The sequence below is a fragment of the Homo sapiens genome, chromosome 17 (assembly GCF_000001405.40).
Source record: "Homo sapiens chromosome 17, GRCh38.p14 Primary Assembly".
Taxonomy (NCBI): Eukaryota; Metazoa; Chordata; class Mammalia; order Primates; family Hominidae; genus Homo; species Homo sapiens.
This window is the reverse complement of record NC_000017.11, coordinates 33,728,431-33,744,945: the sequence shown is the minus strand read 5'-3', so window position 1 is coordinate 33,744,945 and position 16,515 is coordinate 33,728,431. Positions and strand designations below refer to the sequence as shown.

Here is a 16,515-nt window from a genome sequence, read left to right as displayed (position 1 = left end):
TTCAAATCTACTGCTGAGCCTTGCTAATAATTTTTCATGTTCGTTGATTTGGTTTTCAACTCCAGAATTTCCACTTGTTTCTTTTTTTATAATTTCTGCCAGTTTTTGGATATATTCCATTTGATGAGCTATTTCTTTACTTATTTAAGCACGCTTTCCTCTGGTTATTTGAACGTATGTATAATGTCTACTTTGATGTCTTTGTCAAATCTGACATCTGGTTCCCTTCACAGGCAGTTTTGTTGCCTGCTTTTTTTCTTGTATATGGGTCACACATTTTTGTTTCTTTATATATCATAATTTTGTGTTGAAAAATGGATGCTTTAGGTAATACATTATAGCAATTCTGGATACTGATTTCCCTCCCACAACTCCAGCTCTTGTGTTTCTTGTTTTATTATTTATTTGTTTTGTGACTTGGCTGGGATATTTTAGCTAAGTCTATTCCCCATGCAGTGTTAAGCCTTTGGTGTTGCTTGCTCCTCAGTGCTCACCTAGGATAGCAGTAGTTTTAGCAGAGCTCTCTTTGGATGCTTGTTTACTAATCTGTCTGTTAAACTATCTTCCTGATTTGGTATTACACCCAGTCTTTAACTTCCACTAATTACTAGATGCTTGCTTTGCTGTTTTCAACAACACCTTAAGACATAAATTGCTCAGCAGTTTGGTCCATTTAAATTGGAAAAGGGGTAGTTTTTGAGACCAGTCTTTGAGGTTTGCTCTGACCCTAGCAGGGTGTTTCTTAGCAGTCTGTTTCTCTGGTTCTTTCTAGTGAACTAACTGGACTCATTGCTCTTAATAAGAGGAGTTATTTTTTCTGAATACACCCTTAGGCTTGAACTTCCCCATGTTCTGTTTCAAACAAAGTCAGTTCCTTTAAGGGGAGCTTTGGCAGTCTCTCTCCTTAGAGACTGGCTAGGCAAAATCTCTGAGCCATTACTCTGGGCACTGGGCAGAGTGCTAGCCTCTGATTAGCTTGTTTCTTCCAGCATGTCCTACGAAAGATCTGGAGTCAGAGTAATTTAGGGCTCCAGTATTCACAGCCTGTTGTACTTGGGGCAAAGACTGTCCTATAGGCAGAGACAGGGGGAAGGGAGAGAGAGAGATTAATTTTAAATAATTGGATTACGTGAGTATGGAGGCTGGCAATTCCAAAATCTGCAGGGTTGGCCAGCAGTCTGGAGATGCAGAAGAGAACTGATGCTATAGTTCAAGTCCAAAGGCCATCAGGCTGAATCCCAGGAAAGAGCTCGTGTTGTGATTGAAATCCAAATGCTGTCTGTTGCAGAATTCTCTCTGGCTTAGGGAAAATCAGGAGATCAATCATGTGTCCTATTTAGGCCATAACTGGTCAGAGGAGGCTCACCTGTATTATGGAGGGAAATCTGTTTTACCCAAACTCTACCAATTTAAATGTTAATATCCAAAAATATCCTCATAGAAACATCCAGAATAATGCTTTAACACATACCTGGGCCAATGGCCCATCCAAGTTGACACATAAAATTAACTATCACATGTGGTAACCCTAGCTTGGGAACTGAGGGGAGAGGAAGCCCTGTCTTCTTAGCCACACCCACACATGATGGAGCTTCCATCAAGCTGAACTGGGTAGTGGGTGGAAGATAGGGAGCAAGTTGTGGCTCAAGTGCCACAGTCCCTCATTGTTCTCACCACATTATAGTAGATTTTTATGAATGTTTCTATCTTTGCTGTATGCCTTTAGAACAATTTCCAGAGACTTTAAATAATTTGGATTTTTTTAAAAGTAGTTTCACCAGTGTTGCTTGTTTTGCTGAGAAGTAGACCAACAGAGCCCCTCATGCCAGCATGAAATTCCTAAGTCCAGGATTATTTGCAAGAGCAGGGAGAGGTTTGTGACTGAACCCATTAGGAAGATAAAGGGTAGAGGAGGCAAGGGCTGGAAAGCACACGCCAGTGACAGGAGATAGGCAAGTTACTAGGACTTACCAACAGGAACTGGAAAAATACGTAGAATCTCATTTTCATCAGAAGGCTGCTGGGGAATCAGCATCAGTACCAAATGTTTATCTCGGCCAGGCCCAGAGAGCCAGCAGGATTCAGCATGGATCATGCCACCCTGCACCCAGGAACGGTGCGTGTGCCAGGGACGTGAGGCAGTGGTAGACAGGGTGATTTACATCACCATCTGGTCAAAAGCAGTTTCCAGTGTCTTCAGTTGTGACCAATGAACATCAGAACCCATTATGCCTGGGGAGAGCTATGTTCTGGGCCACGCCACCCATTTCCCAGCTGCAAATCTCCAAGGAGTGTTCCATGTGATGTCATTATGCTGGAGTTTTTTCCTGCATTGTTCCGTAAATTTATCCATTCATTTGTCTACCTGCCCATCAGATCTTTATTGAGATTTACTCTGTGCATCCACATTATAGAAGACACTAAGTTAAGTATGACTCTGTCACTCCTCTCTAGAGGAGCACAAAATGTCCACAAGCCAATTCTAATACACTATAAGGCCAGCAAGAGCGAACACAGTGCTTTTCCAGTTGGGGAGTGGGGATCAAAAAAATGTGCTTCAACTTAAGGATAAGTAGAAGTCAGCCAGCCAGCTTTAGAAAAAAAATGAGAGGGAGGTGGCATTGTAGGTAGTGGGAATAGCTTGTGGTTAGAGAGGCTTAATGACCACAGCACAGTAGGGGGCTGCAAGAGTGCCCTTGTGGCTGGAGCACTGGAAACAAATGGGGCGTGGGCAGCAATCAGTCTATGCAAGTACAGTAGATGGGTCATGTTCCATTCTTGCTTTCTCATATCCAGATCGATATGAACAACTGGAACAACCTGGCCAGAAACTGGCCTTCACATCTTCTCTGGCCATGCTCAAGCAAGGACTATATGCAGGCCCCATTTCTCCTAAAGTTTCTGGTGATCATCTGGCACCTGAATGGCCTCAGTGTCCGGCCAGGCCTAGACCTTTGACCACTGGCCTTTCCTCATGGTAGGAATAACAGAACTCATTCCATGAGCTCCCCACTGCTAGGCCACTAAGCTAAGAATTCTCACTTAGCCTAATTCTGTCCATCAGGATCTGCCGCAGACATCCTCTGTTCCAAACTCTGGCAGGGCATCTAGGCATGGTGGCCTCAGGGGCTATCTGAATGTCAGCAAGAATCAATGCCATAGCCTGCCTGAGCATGGGTAGGCTGGTGCTGGGGCTGGGCTCATGGTGATTATGTCTGAGTAGAGCAGGAGAAAACTGCATTGTCTGTCACTGTCAGCATTATCAGTGGCAAACACAAACATTTTAGAAGCTGAGATGGATAACTCTGACTACCAGCATGCCTGGAGATAATGCTTGGTGCCTGCCCAGGGTCCAGGAGACTCTTCATCACCCCAGCATCACTACTGTTTTATCTTTATGCCCCCTTGGAATCTCCAGGGTGTTGAGTTTTGAATCTGCCTCCATTGACTTCTGCAGTCCAGCAGGGAAGAGGCCCAAAGAGCAGGCTCACGCATGTAAAAAGTAAAGCATTTTAGTGTCCACATAGCCTTTGCCTCTTTCATCCAGTTAGATCTTCCTATCAGTCCTGTGTAGCAGGCATAATGGGTATTGAAATTCTCACATCACAGATGAGGAACAAAGTGCCCAGAGATAGTCAGTGACATGCAGCAATTCAGAAGAGGAACTAAAAATCAAACCAAATATACTGATTCCAGGAAGACATGCTTTCCAACCTACTGGTGCATCTTGGCATAACAAGGGGTACCAGAAAACATAGTGAAAAAAATAAAAGCAACTTAAGGGTCTGAAGACCCTGGGCAGTCACTCTCTGTGCCTCTCCCTGATGCCCTTGACCTGCCTAGAAGCCCCTTCGACAGCTCCGTGCACTCCCAAGGCTTTCTGGGTCTACCTGAGCAAGCACCTTCCCTGGCAGTCTGCACACAGGGCTGGCTAGGTATACTGGAGGAGGTAATAGCCGAGAGAGTCTCTTAAGGTGTTGAAGGGATCTAAATTCAAACAGCAGAATGTGAATTTCCTTGCCCCTTACTATAACCCTGTTGAAGGGACAATAGCAGCTATATTTTTAGAGACTCTAGCAGAGTCCTAGATTCATTTTCCTATATAGCCAAGCCCATCTGGTCCCAGAACCATACCCCACAACCCATAGTAGTGGCTAAGGCATATGCAGCTGAATCTCTGAGGGAGAACTGGTGAGTTAATTTAAAGGTGTTCTTGGAATGCACTGTGTGTAGTATCTCATCCTCATCCAGCCCTGAAGGAGGAGGAGAAGGTCTGTTTCCAGCCAACCTTTCCCATCTGATGTCTATGTTCCTTGCTACTAGCTGATGTGGTTTGGCTGTGTCCGCACCCAAATCTCATCTTGAATTGTAGCTCGCATAATCCCCAAGTGTCATGGTAGGGATCCGGTGGGAGGTAATTGAATCATGGGACTGGTTACCCCCATGCTGCTGTTCTCATGATAGTGAGCTCTCACGAGATCTGACAGTTTTATAAGAGGCTTTTCCCCTTTTTGCTCAGCACTTTTTCTTCCTGCTGCCATATGAAGAAGAACATGTTTGCTTCCCCATCTGCCATGATTGTAAGTTTCCCGAGGCCTCCCAGCCATGTGAAATTGTGAGTCAATTGAACCTCTTTCCTTTATAGATTACCCAGTTTCTGGCAGTCCTTTATAGCAGTGTGAGAACGCACTAATACATAGCCCTTGCTGTACCCAAACTATATATCATAATATTTGGGCCCTTGAGTGGCAGTGCTTCATCTGCCATAAACCTACTTTGCTCTCCTGTCTCTACTTATTCTAGTTCATTCTTCAAGGCATATATTGTACTTGGCTATGACTTTGAATAACCCTGGCTCTCCTTTCTGCCTCTGGGCTCCCAAGGCTCTTACCTGACTCTCCCTCTGTTCTTTTTTTTCTTTCTTTCTCTCTCTCTTTCTTTATTTTTCTTTCTTTCTTTTTTCTTTCTTTCTTTCTTCTTTTCTTTCTCTTTTTTCTTTTCTTTCTTTCTCTTTTTTCTTTCTTTTTTCTTTTCTTTCTTTCTCTTTTTTCTTTTCTTTCCTTTTCTTTTTTCCTTCCTTCTTTTTTTCTTTCTCTTTTTTCTTTCTCTTTCTTTTTCTTTCTTTCTTTCTCTCTTTCTTTCTTTCTTTCTTCTTTCTTTTGTTTCTTTTCTTTCTCTCCTCCATTTTCTCTCCTGTTAATGTGGTTATAACACACATGTTTTATCCCCTCTCCTAGCCTGGGGTTCTGGTGATTTTGGTAGCCCCTTCAATGTCTACCACAGTGATACTCACCAGATACTTCTCAGGAGCTCTCAGTGAGAGGCCAAGTGCAGCTTTTATTCAGACACCTGTGCTGAAGCTTAGAGCACAGCTTAGAAGACTGGAATTCACTGCACCTTCACAGAATAATATTTCTGCAACTGCAGCTCCACTGGCTATCATTTACTGTCTGCTTCACCATTGCTAATTGTTTTTAATTTATTACATCACATTCTTGTCAAGGGCCTGCTACAAATTTATTGGTGGAGGCTTAGGAGATCTGTCTAAGGTCACACATAACAGTGACAGAGCTGAGACCTGAATGCAGCTTGTCTTGGCTTCAAATCCCATGCTCTTCCCTCCACCCTTTGAATGATTCTGATGGACTCAAATCCCCTCTTTTTGGTTTGACCCATGGATCACTTTGGGAATAGGCACATAGAATCACTAATGTGGGGACAGTTCTTGCCTGACACAGATTTCAATCTCTATTTATTCATTTGTCATATAAACTTTGACATTTGTCTAACATTTTGAGCACCCTGGTTCTTCATCTTGAAACATAGAGCATTGCATCTTAGAAGTAATTTTCTCTTTGAATGCATCACCACAGCACTGCCATTTTGTCAACCTTACAGCTTTCTGCCAGAACTGGGGCTGTTATTCTTACCTTAAACATGGGCAAACCAGGACAAAAGAATCATCGTGGTTAAATAATGCTTTTGGTCTTTTCTTCCTTGGAAACTTTAGTAACATTCCAAGACTGGGTCAAAGCTTCCTAGGGTGGGAGCAATGAATCAAGGAAATGGAGATGTTCACCTTAGGGAAAAGGAAAACCTGAGAGCTGACTTAAGCCACCTAAGCCACACAAAGACTTGATACACCTTGTTCTAGCGGGAGAGCCCAGAAGAACCAGAGCCAGTTGGTGTAAGTCACAGATAAGATTTGGGCATTGTTTTAGTTGGATCTGCCTATACGTCCCCACCCTAGGAGCAGGTCAGAAACAAGGATTGAGTGCAAGTAGGTCAATTGGTAGATGTGGGGATAGTAGAAGTAGGGTGGGGCACTGACACAGAGGAGGGAAGGCAGTAAGAAGGAGTTAGATATTAAGCCAGCTACCACTGGGGGAAACTGAAGCTTATTGGCTCAGGGAGACTCATTGGTGGTGTAAAACGCAATCCCCCAGAATTATCCCACCTGAGGGTAAGGATCAGGGTATTTATAGGCTGGTGCATGTATATTGGTGAACAAATTAGGTTCTGGCAGCCCAGAGGCAGACCAGAAAATGCAGGTGCTGACTTTTGGAAGCATATGAAAATAAAAGGGGATCCTGAAGGTCTGGGGGAAGGATGACAAGCACCATGTAAAGTTGTCTAATGATTCAAGTCATCCAACAGCTTTCTAATGGGGTGGTGAGCTCTCCATCATCAACCACATCTAAGAAGAGGCCAAATGGACAAAACAGGGGCTCCTGCTTTGGGTGGCAATATGGACCAGATGTTCTCTCAATGAAGAAGTGAGGTCCTCATGATGCCAGTGGCCTGAGAAGAGCTGGTGTGTCACAAAATGCAAGCCTTTGGTCTTACAGGCTAATGATCTCAATTTCTTAGACACCTACTTTTATATACTAATTGCCATGACCAGTAACTGAACCAGTGAGCTATTAAATCTTACCAGCAATTTAGTTCCATATTCCTTATTTTGTTCATTTTATTTTTATTTATTTATTTTTTTGTTTACCAAGTTGGGTTTTTCCTTCTCTGGAAAGTTGGAATGAGTAGAAGAGTTGGGGTCATTTGCCATATCCAACTGGATTGCAGTCTGAAGAGTTTGCAAATTCCTACTCACAAGTTACTTTTAAGTCTAATTGGGGCTTTTGTGCATATTCAAAGTAAACTGTCTCTTCCTTGACTTGGGTGGAATGGATATTATATGCAGGTGGACGCTTTCCTGTTAGTTCAGGAATCTACTCAATAAGGATGGCTGCCATTTTTTGAGCAAATACTAAATTCCATGTACTGTTAGGGGTATTTTACACATTGGTGCTCTCTTAATCCTCACAACCCAATAAGTGCAGCACTCTTTATGTCTCCATTTTAAATGAGGAATCTGAAGTTCAAAGAAGTTAAATAAACCTATAAGCGGTCTCAGTTTACAATTAGCAGTGAACTAGATTGAGATTTAAACCAGATTAAAAATATTTCTAATCCGTTCAAATGTGAGGAAGCAAGCCAAACCATTCCCAAGATATCCCATTCAGGAAAGAGACAGGAGGTCCTACAAAGAATGTTGGAGCAGAGACATGTATATTTAGGGAGTCACAGCATGGTTTGAGGTCATGGTCCTGGATTCAACAGAACAAACCAGGGACACCTCTTGTTCGTAATAGCTAAGGCTGTGGCTTGGAAAACAATCTGATGAGACTGATGATTAAAATGTAAAATGAGTCTATTTTTTGATCAGCAATCCTACTGATAGTAACCTACCCCATAAAAACAAAGCCTCAGTTTATAAGGGTAAAATAAATGTGGAGGCGTGGAGCAGGGGGAGTTGCAGCATTTTTGTATTAGCAAAAACTTGGAAACAATGTCAGTGTCTACCAATACAGGAATAGATGAATAGATTGTGGTGTCTCCAAACAATAAAATATGATGCAGCACTAAAAAGACAGTGTTACAGGTGCCAAAATATATCATAGCATATGCTTTAAATATGTGCAGCTTACTGTATCTCAGTTACACCTCGATAAAGCTGTTAAAAAAAGAGACCACATTATTTAGATCCATATGCAATTGGCCAAAAACATGCCCATGATATATGTCTTTGTGAATAAAAGCACGTTTCCGTGTAAAGTACATGGTATGATTTGATTTGGGACTTCAAAAACTGGGGCACAGTTGTACATGTTTCCATATATGGTCTATGTAAGTATAGGGAAAGTGTGAAAGGTCACTCCCTAATGATCTCGGAGAGGAGGGTACAATTGATAGGAAAAATAAGAAGACAATTAAATGTTTCTTTATATAATTCTCCATTATTTGACTTTTTATAAGCTTATATTGCTTTTGTAATTGAAAAAAAACTTAAAACAAAAAGAGTCAGTGAATCATCACAGAGGCATAGCTGGTCTAGTGAGCCAACTACAATCTTCTGCCTCACAGGAAACAGATGCCTGGGATCTTCACGGTCTCCATAGGCTGGCGGGAGACACTGAGGCAGGGGGCTGTCTTGCCTTCAGCAGCAGATACAGTGGCTTGAGTGTAGAAAAGGCCAGTGGTAATAGAAAATGTATTTCCCTTCCAAAATGTCTGCATGATAAAATATGGGATTTTCATAAATTCATAGAGTAGGAATTATTAGCAGGCTGAGCTTTTATCGCTGCCTCGGGCACTGTGCTGACCCACCAAGACCCCACTTTCCTCAGCAATGGCAGGATGATTTCCTATTTCATAATCTTTTCTCTCATTGTGGGAGGAAAAATAAATTCCCCAGGTGGCCTCTTTATAGCCCCAGCCCAGCAGACCCGTTGAGACAGGGTTTTGTCTATTTATTCAGCCAGCAAATATTTATTGAGCACTATTTTCTTACCTTTATTATTTTGCTTGTATCAAGCACTAAAGATTCAAGAATTCCAAGAAATGTTCTGGACAACACACTTCAAAGTGAAGTCACTGAACAAGCAGAGACCAGGAGGGTGACTGGGACTGTGAGGATCTTGAAGCCGTTCATTTATTTATTCACTCACTCATTCATTCATGCCAAAGGAAAATTTGAAAACAGAGATCTTGAGCTTAGAGACGAAACAAGAATGGTGAAGTTTCCAGTGGAAGAAAAATAAGGCTTGTTGACTGTGGCTCTTGAGAGCAGAACTGGGACACAGCAGCAGTTAGAAGGGAGGGAGACCCTTCTAATCATTAGAATTGATTCACACCCTGGAGCACAGTGAGTGATCCCAGGGAGTGCTCAATGGAGGTGGGTAGCCGCTGTTGAGGACTTTGTGAAAGGGATTTGGCTCTCTGATGGGGCTTCACCAGACACCATTAGGAACCCTTGCAAATACAATTCTCTAAGGTCTGCTGGGTCTTTGCCTGATTAAGACCAAAACTATGACACTTCCCAGCCAACCCTCCACCCACACTATGTGACTCCAAGCTATGGCTCCCTCTCATTTCTCTACCTCTAACATATGTATTTTTCCTTGATTCCATTCTAAAGGAACCTGCTATGTCTGAAGTCACCCAGGGCATTTTCTTTGGTCACTACCCAGAAGAACAGTCAGGAATAATACAGTGAACCTTTCCTAATGGCCTGTACCAGGAAAAGCACGGAGCCCTTCACACTGCCCACTTATGCATTCAAGAAAGGCTCACCAAGCACCTGCCATGGCCAGACTCTGTTTCCCACACAAGGACTAGAGCAGGGAACAAACTTTCTCCATGGAGGGGCTCTTGTCCAAGTGAGGAAGATAGAAAATAAGCAAACACAATGGCAGGCAGAGGCAAGCAGTAGAAAGAAAAATAAGACAGAGTATGAGGGTGAAGAGTTTGGGCACGGGGCACTATTTTAGATATGACAGTCACAGAAACTGCTACAGGATCTGAGATTGAGTAAGAGGAGAGAATCATACAGGGATCTCAGAGAAGAGCATTCCAAACAACAGCAACAGCGAAGTGCAGTCTCTGAACTGGAACATGCTTGGAATTTTTGAGAAATAGCAAGAAAGTCAGTGTGGCCAGAACACAGTAAGTGTATTCTCTACTTGAGTTGCCATAATACAAGACCACAAAGTGGATGGGTTAAACAACAGAAATTTATTTTCTCATAGTTCTGGAGACTGGAAGTCTAAAATGAATGTGCAAGCAGGGTTGGTTTTGGGTGAGACCTCTCTCCTTGGCTGGCAGAGCAGTTCTTCACTGTGCCCTCAAATGGTCTTTTCTCTGTGTGCACAGAGAAAGATGCACTCTGGTGTCTCTTCCTCTTCTTATAAGGGCACCAGTCTTATTGGATTGGGGTCCCATCCTTACAACCTCATTTAACCTTAATTACAACCCTAAAGGTTCTGTTTCCAAATACAGTCACAATGGGGGTGAGGGCTTCAACATACACATTTGTGGGGAACACAATTTAGTAGTGAGTGAAGGAAGAGGGGTAGGTAGGAAATGAGATGAGATTGACAGCTTCTCTGTAAACAGTTGGCAGCAATCCAGAAGTGCGGGTGGTGTGGGAAGGACATGAGGGGCAGTGAGGGATAATACAGAGAGAGAAATGACTATCACAGGGACCATGGTGTGGAGCTGGTAAGAAAAGTGGAAGACAGAGCACGGGAGGAAGGTTCGACCTCACGTGGGAGCCCGGGGGGAAGGGCTGGCCTCACAGGGGAGGAAAGGCTGGCCTCTCACGGATGCAAGGGAAGAAGGGCTGGCCACACACAGGAACACAGGAGGGAAGGGCTAGTCTTGGACGGGAGCATGGGAGGAAGGGCTGGCCTCACACGGGAGCACTGGAGGAAGGGCTGGCCTCAGATGGGAGCACATGAGGGAAGGCAGAGAGCCTGGCGCAGATGCAGGCTGTGCCTGTGGGGTAGGGGGGAGATGACATATTTTTCTTCTGATTGCTTCTATTTTCTCAGTGAAATCAGATTCAGGGCTCTCAACTAAGACTGCTTTGCAGAGGCCTAGGGGGAGGGGAAAGGGTGTGAAGTAGTCATGAGATCTGGGAAATACCAGTGTTGTTCAGCAGTGCCAAGGGCCCTCCAGTCACTTGTGGTCACAATTTAAAGTGAGACCCATCAGCCTAAGAGTGTAGTTTTCTCCAACTGCATCCTCTTCTCAGGTTCAGGGAAAGAGTAGGACAATAACTGTATCTAGCCAGGTCGGGATTTAGCCAGACAACTATCTGAACGGGAGCGAGGGTAACTACTGTGATGGTCCACAGAAGCTTGGCAGGATGAGAAGGGCCATGATGACATGAGGCTGGGAGAGGAAAAGGATATTAATTTCTTAGCAGTGGCAGGCAGGGAAGATAATTAGCCCCTTTTGTTGATAAATAAACTGAGGCTCAGAGAGATAAGTCATGTATCTAATCAGTAGAAGAGCCATGTTCTGGGGACTTTAGAATATAAGTGCCAGGGAGGTAAGAAACTCAGAGAGGAATGTATGCACATGATTGAGGTCTCCATCTTCTCTCCCTCACCCTCTCCGTCTCCTCCCTTTCAGGGAGATCAACTCTCCTAGTTGTCCAGGACTGAGGGTTTTTCAGGACATGGAACTTGTAGTACTAAAATGAAGAAAGTCCTAGGCAAACAAGGTTGATTGGTTATCAACACACACACAGGGAGAAAGGACTGATGGGGGCTTCACCAGATACCATTAGGAACCCGTGCAAATACAGCTCTCTAAGGCTAAGGCAAATATTAGCCAGGCTTTTAGTTAGGAGTTCCCTCTTCTGACAAGAAGATCCTCTGGAGCATCCGTCTCTCTTGCACTGGACCCTTTTCTTTCCTGCAGAGGTTGGAGTCAGAAGTGAGGGGACAGGGTTAGGGCCAATAATTATATTCTATCTATCTTTTAATAAACAAATTAAAGTTTTTTTAAAAAAATAAATAACCTCCAAGTGGCTCAACAATCAAAGGATACCAAAGAGTAAACAGGGAACATCTCCTGTCCTCTAGCCAGAGGATGCCATGCTATAAATTTCTTGTGTGTCCTTTCAAAGATACTTAATGCAAACATCAACATTGACATTAGGGGGCTGGGCATGGTGGCACACGCCTATAATCCCAACATTTTGAGAGGCCAAGGTGGGCGGATCACTTGAGGTCAGGAGTTTGGGGCCAGCCTGGCCAACATGGTGAAACCCTGTCTCTACTAAAATTACAAATATTAGCCAGGCTTGGTGGTGCACACCTGTAGTCCCAGCTACTCAGAAGGCTGAGGCAGGAGAATCACTTGAACCCAGGAGGCAGAGGTTGCAGTGAGCTGAGATCTCACCACTGCACTCCAGCCTGGGCAACAAGAGCAAGACTCTGTCTCAAAAAATAAAAAATAAAAAATAAAAAAAATTCAGGAGGCTGAGGCAGGAGAATGGCATGAATCCGGGGGCGGAGCTTGCAGTTAGCCAGGATCGCACCACAGCAATCCAGCGATAGAGCAAGATTACGTCTTAAAAAAAAAAAAAAAAAAAGAATTTCCTTAGCGCCTGCATCTTACTCTTTTTATGTAACAAAAGAACATGGAGGTATAGAGATCAGTTTCTATCAATACATAAAGAGAAGCATCTCCCACCAAAATGTAAGTTCTGGAGGGCAGGGATTTTTTGACTATTTTGATCACCATTCTATATTCAGCACCTAGGACAGCGCCTGACATGAAGGAAGAATTCAGAAAAGTCTGAATGACTCCTTTGGTCTTCCTGGCCTTCCATTGAACACATGTGCTACGATGTATTTAATTGTATCCTTTTATGTGTTCAGCTTGCTTCCACACTTTTGATCTTATAATTAATACCACAATGAATAACCCTATGCACCTGCTGCTTTATGTGTGTTTGAGCCTATCTGTAGGATAAATTCCTAGAAGTGGAATTGCTGAATCAAAGATATGTGTATTTTCAATTTTGGTGGAGATGGCCAAATTACATCTATATAAATTTTCAACAATTTTGTTATTTACCCCATGCATTCATGATACATTTTATGAATCATCATTTTTTTCTTTGATTTTAAGTCACCTTCTAGTGCTCTGTTCATCTAGCCCTCCCCTGTTGGGTACACATATCACAACAGCTCCCCCAACCCCACCCCAGTTTGTGACTATCCTTGTTTTATAGGCTGTTCTGAACACTGTCTTTGCTCTGAGGCCAGCCTTCCCAAAGGCCCATGTGGGCACATTGAAGAGGAGATAGACCTGCATCCAGCTATCCAGGATTCCTGGAGTGGCCAAGGGCAGAGGAAAGGGCCTAAGCTGAGACACTTATGATTTAGGGATGAGCTAGGAATATCTGAAGACCTTCAGTTAGCTCAGCCTTTCTCAGGAACTTTCCCCCAAAGTCCCAAGGGGGTTTAGTGTTTCATTTACCACTGTATAGACTCCTCCCATCAATCTCTCTGTATATTAAATTCCTAGCTCTTTCTAATTACTTATTGATTAGTCCCAGCAGAACTCTAGCATAGATGGAGGCAGCAGGGAGATTTCTTTATGGACCTTAGGTGAAAGACATTTGATTCAAACTTTCCAAACTCTGACTCTCAATGAATTTGTCCCAAACTCTGTTTTTCTACCTTTTCTGCTACTCACGTCTCCCTCCAACATTCAATTCTGTTCTAATGCAAGGGCTCCAAATGATGTTCTGACCTCCCCCCTAAAATATAGCACTCCTATGGCAATGTCTGTCCTAAAGCAAGAGATCCCAGGAACTTCAAATGTCTACTTCCCAAAAAACACCTGACAAAGGAGCAACAAGTGGTTTTGTGACTCCCCAGTAAATCTCTGCTAAACATTTCCCCACACCTGAAGCATCAAAGATGGTCCCTTGAGGTGTGAGAATATAAACAGGGTGCCTGTGCCCTCATGCTATGAGTTCATTTATTCATACCCTCATCCATTCACTCATTCACTCCCTCAGCCCACTTCCATGGGGCATCCGAGCATCCATTCTGAGGTGGAGTAGGTGCAGTGTAGGTGCAGGGAGAGGAGAGTGTTGTAGAAACAAGATAAATGCCCAAGATCCAGGAACCTGCCCTCATTGCCACCACTGTGAACAGACACCATCCACAGAAGAGTAGGATCAATTTCAGGTCTCTGAAAGGAAACAGGGGGGATATATCTTTCAGCTTTGATATTTGGTCCACATTTCTTAATCTCTGAGTGTCCCTCAATCAACAGTAACCACATAGACACCTACTTTGTGCAAGATACACACAGATAAAGAAAAGGGGAAAATAGTGAACTTTGGAGACACAGAGAACTGAGTTCAAATCCAAGTTGAAGTTCTCCTTGAAGCGTCTCAAGAAAGAGTTTGTAAAACAGTTTAACAAAGTAAGCAAGACTTAGGAGAGAACTATTTCAAACATCTAGAAGAGCTCATTTTTCCAGCCCCATCAAGCACTTTAGAATGGTTCATTTATATTCAAGTAGTCAATATGTTAATTTTAGATCACTCATATCTATTCCTGAAGCCTAAGGACTGTTGAATGAATAAATGGATGAATGAGTTGTATGAGCCAGGTTTGAATTATTGTGTGATTTCAAAATGACAAAGTGGTGCAGAAGATTTTCTGTTCTGACTTCTCAGTAACTCGCCCTTCTCCTCCCGCAATTAGTCCTCATTAGTGAGACCTCACTGTCATCCCAGGAATGTGAGATCTGTAGTCTCTGGAGCAATGCCTGTTCTGATTTACCTCTCCCTGTGCTCAGAATCAAAGGCAGGAGTCCATTAAGCAAATTAAAAGAAGAGACTCAGTTTCAAAGGAAATATTTAACCAAAAAAGGTAGGAAAGCATTTTTTTTTACACTTTTTTAGTTATCCATTCACAGGTAAACTATACAGGGGCTAATTAAAAGTCATTCTTCTGAATTCATAAAGCCCTTCCCTGCTGAACCTGTATTTGAAACTTTGTTAGATCACCCGAAAGCACCGAATGTCCCTTAATATAATAAAATAATTAAAATGAAATATCCCAGACATCTTGCTAGCGTGAGGCAGTGAGGTGTGGGAAGATCATGGACTCTCCGTTTAAATGCCAGCTTTGCTTTTTTCTAGCAAGTATAAGGTAAGCATTTAGCAATGTTTTTGAAAAGAACCAGCTGAATAATTAGGGTTAACTTCTTAACTTCATTGAGTCTCAGTTTGCTTACATATGAAACTAGAATAATACTACTGAGGTGTTAAGGATCATTAATATGTCAACACTCCCAAAACACCAGGCATTATCCCAGGCGCTTTACACAGATAAACTCATTGACTTCTCACTGCAACCCTGTGAGGGTTGTTTTGTTAGTCTCATTTTATGGATGGGGAATTTAAAGCAAAAGCAGTTTAAGGAATTTGCCCAGATCACATTGTTTGGAAAGTGACCCCAAATTCAGCCCTCTAGAATCTGGCTCTGGACTCTGTGGGTATAACAGTTACCTTGGACTTCCTTTTACATTAACCACTTAGAAGACTCCAGAATCTCACTGGGAGTATACTAACCTAACAATCCAACACGGGGTAATGATATAGTTTGGGTATTTGTCCCCTCCAGATCTCATGTCAAAATGTAATCCCCAGTGTTGGAGGTGGGTTCTGGTGGGGAGGTGTTTGGATCATGGGGGTAGTACTTTATGGAAGGCACCAGCTTGGTGCCATCCTAGAGGTAATGAATGAGTTCTCGCTCTGAGTTTCCACAAGATCTGGTTGTTTAAAAAAGTGTGGCACCTTCCTGCTCTCTCTCTTGCTCCCTCTTTCAAAAGGGATGCATCTGCTCCCCCTTCTCCTTCTGCCAGGATTGCAAGCTTCCTGAGAGACCTCCCTAGAAGCAGACGCTGGCACCACACTTCCTGTACACTCTGCAGAGCCATAAGCCAATTAAACTTCTTTCTTTATAGATTACCCAACCTCAGGTATTTCTTCATAGTGACACAAAAATTGACTAATGCAGGTGATTTTCCTTTTCTTCCATTTCTCTGGATTGAGACCAATGAACTTGAATCTGTGCAATTTGATTATGTTGTCGGGGGTGATGGGGCCCAGCAAAGACTGGGAGTGCCAGGGTGCAGATGTGTACCCTGCTGTTGAGAGTGCTACATTTGCAGTCATTAACAATTTGGATGCACCCACAACATGACCCTCCCTGGCTCCTCTGTAGATACGGATGCTGTTGGGCATAGGCGCTGCAGCTCTGGTTGGCCCGGCTCATGGATAACTCTTCCTCTGCCTTCCCAACTCAATCTACTCTGACAACTCATTCCCTCCCATAATTCACATCTCTACAGCTATAACTTATTCCCCTGATTCACTTTGGTGACATTTCCTGGGTCCTCAGACCCTCAATAGTTAGATAGACCCAGTACTCTGTCAAACAGAACCCATCACAGGCTATGAATCCAGAGTTTAAATTACAGGTATGCCCAGAGAAAACCAATTTCTTTCTGTGATAAGGTCTCTAAGGAAAGGTCAGACCGATAAATAACTGTAAGGGAGGAAATGATGTTGTCCAAAATAGTACATTACCTGGTAAGAGAGAGCTAGGGGTCCCATAAGTTGTGCTTTATCTT

At 43.1% G+C, this 16,515-nt stretch overlaps 1 protein-coding gene across 1 annotated transcript in view, besides 1 other annotated feature; it reads left to right on the top strand.

The window, feature by feature from the left end:
- Nucleotides 1–16,515, top strand: part of ASIC2 (acid sensing ion channel subunit 2) — a 1,143,682-nt gene that overhangs the window by 411,823 nt on the left and 715,344 nt on the right. The window lies entirely within an intron of this gene.
- Nucleotides 12,509–12,709: a silencer, noted in NCBI's record as "peak2804 fragment used in MPRA reporter construct". NCBI's record gives its function as "represses an SCP1 promoter by STARR-seq MPRAs in K562 erythroleukemia cells {active_cell/tissue: K562}" and the evidence as "EXISTENCE:reporter gene assay evidence [ECO:0000049][PMID:32103011]".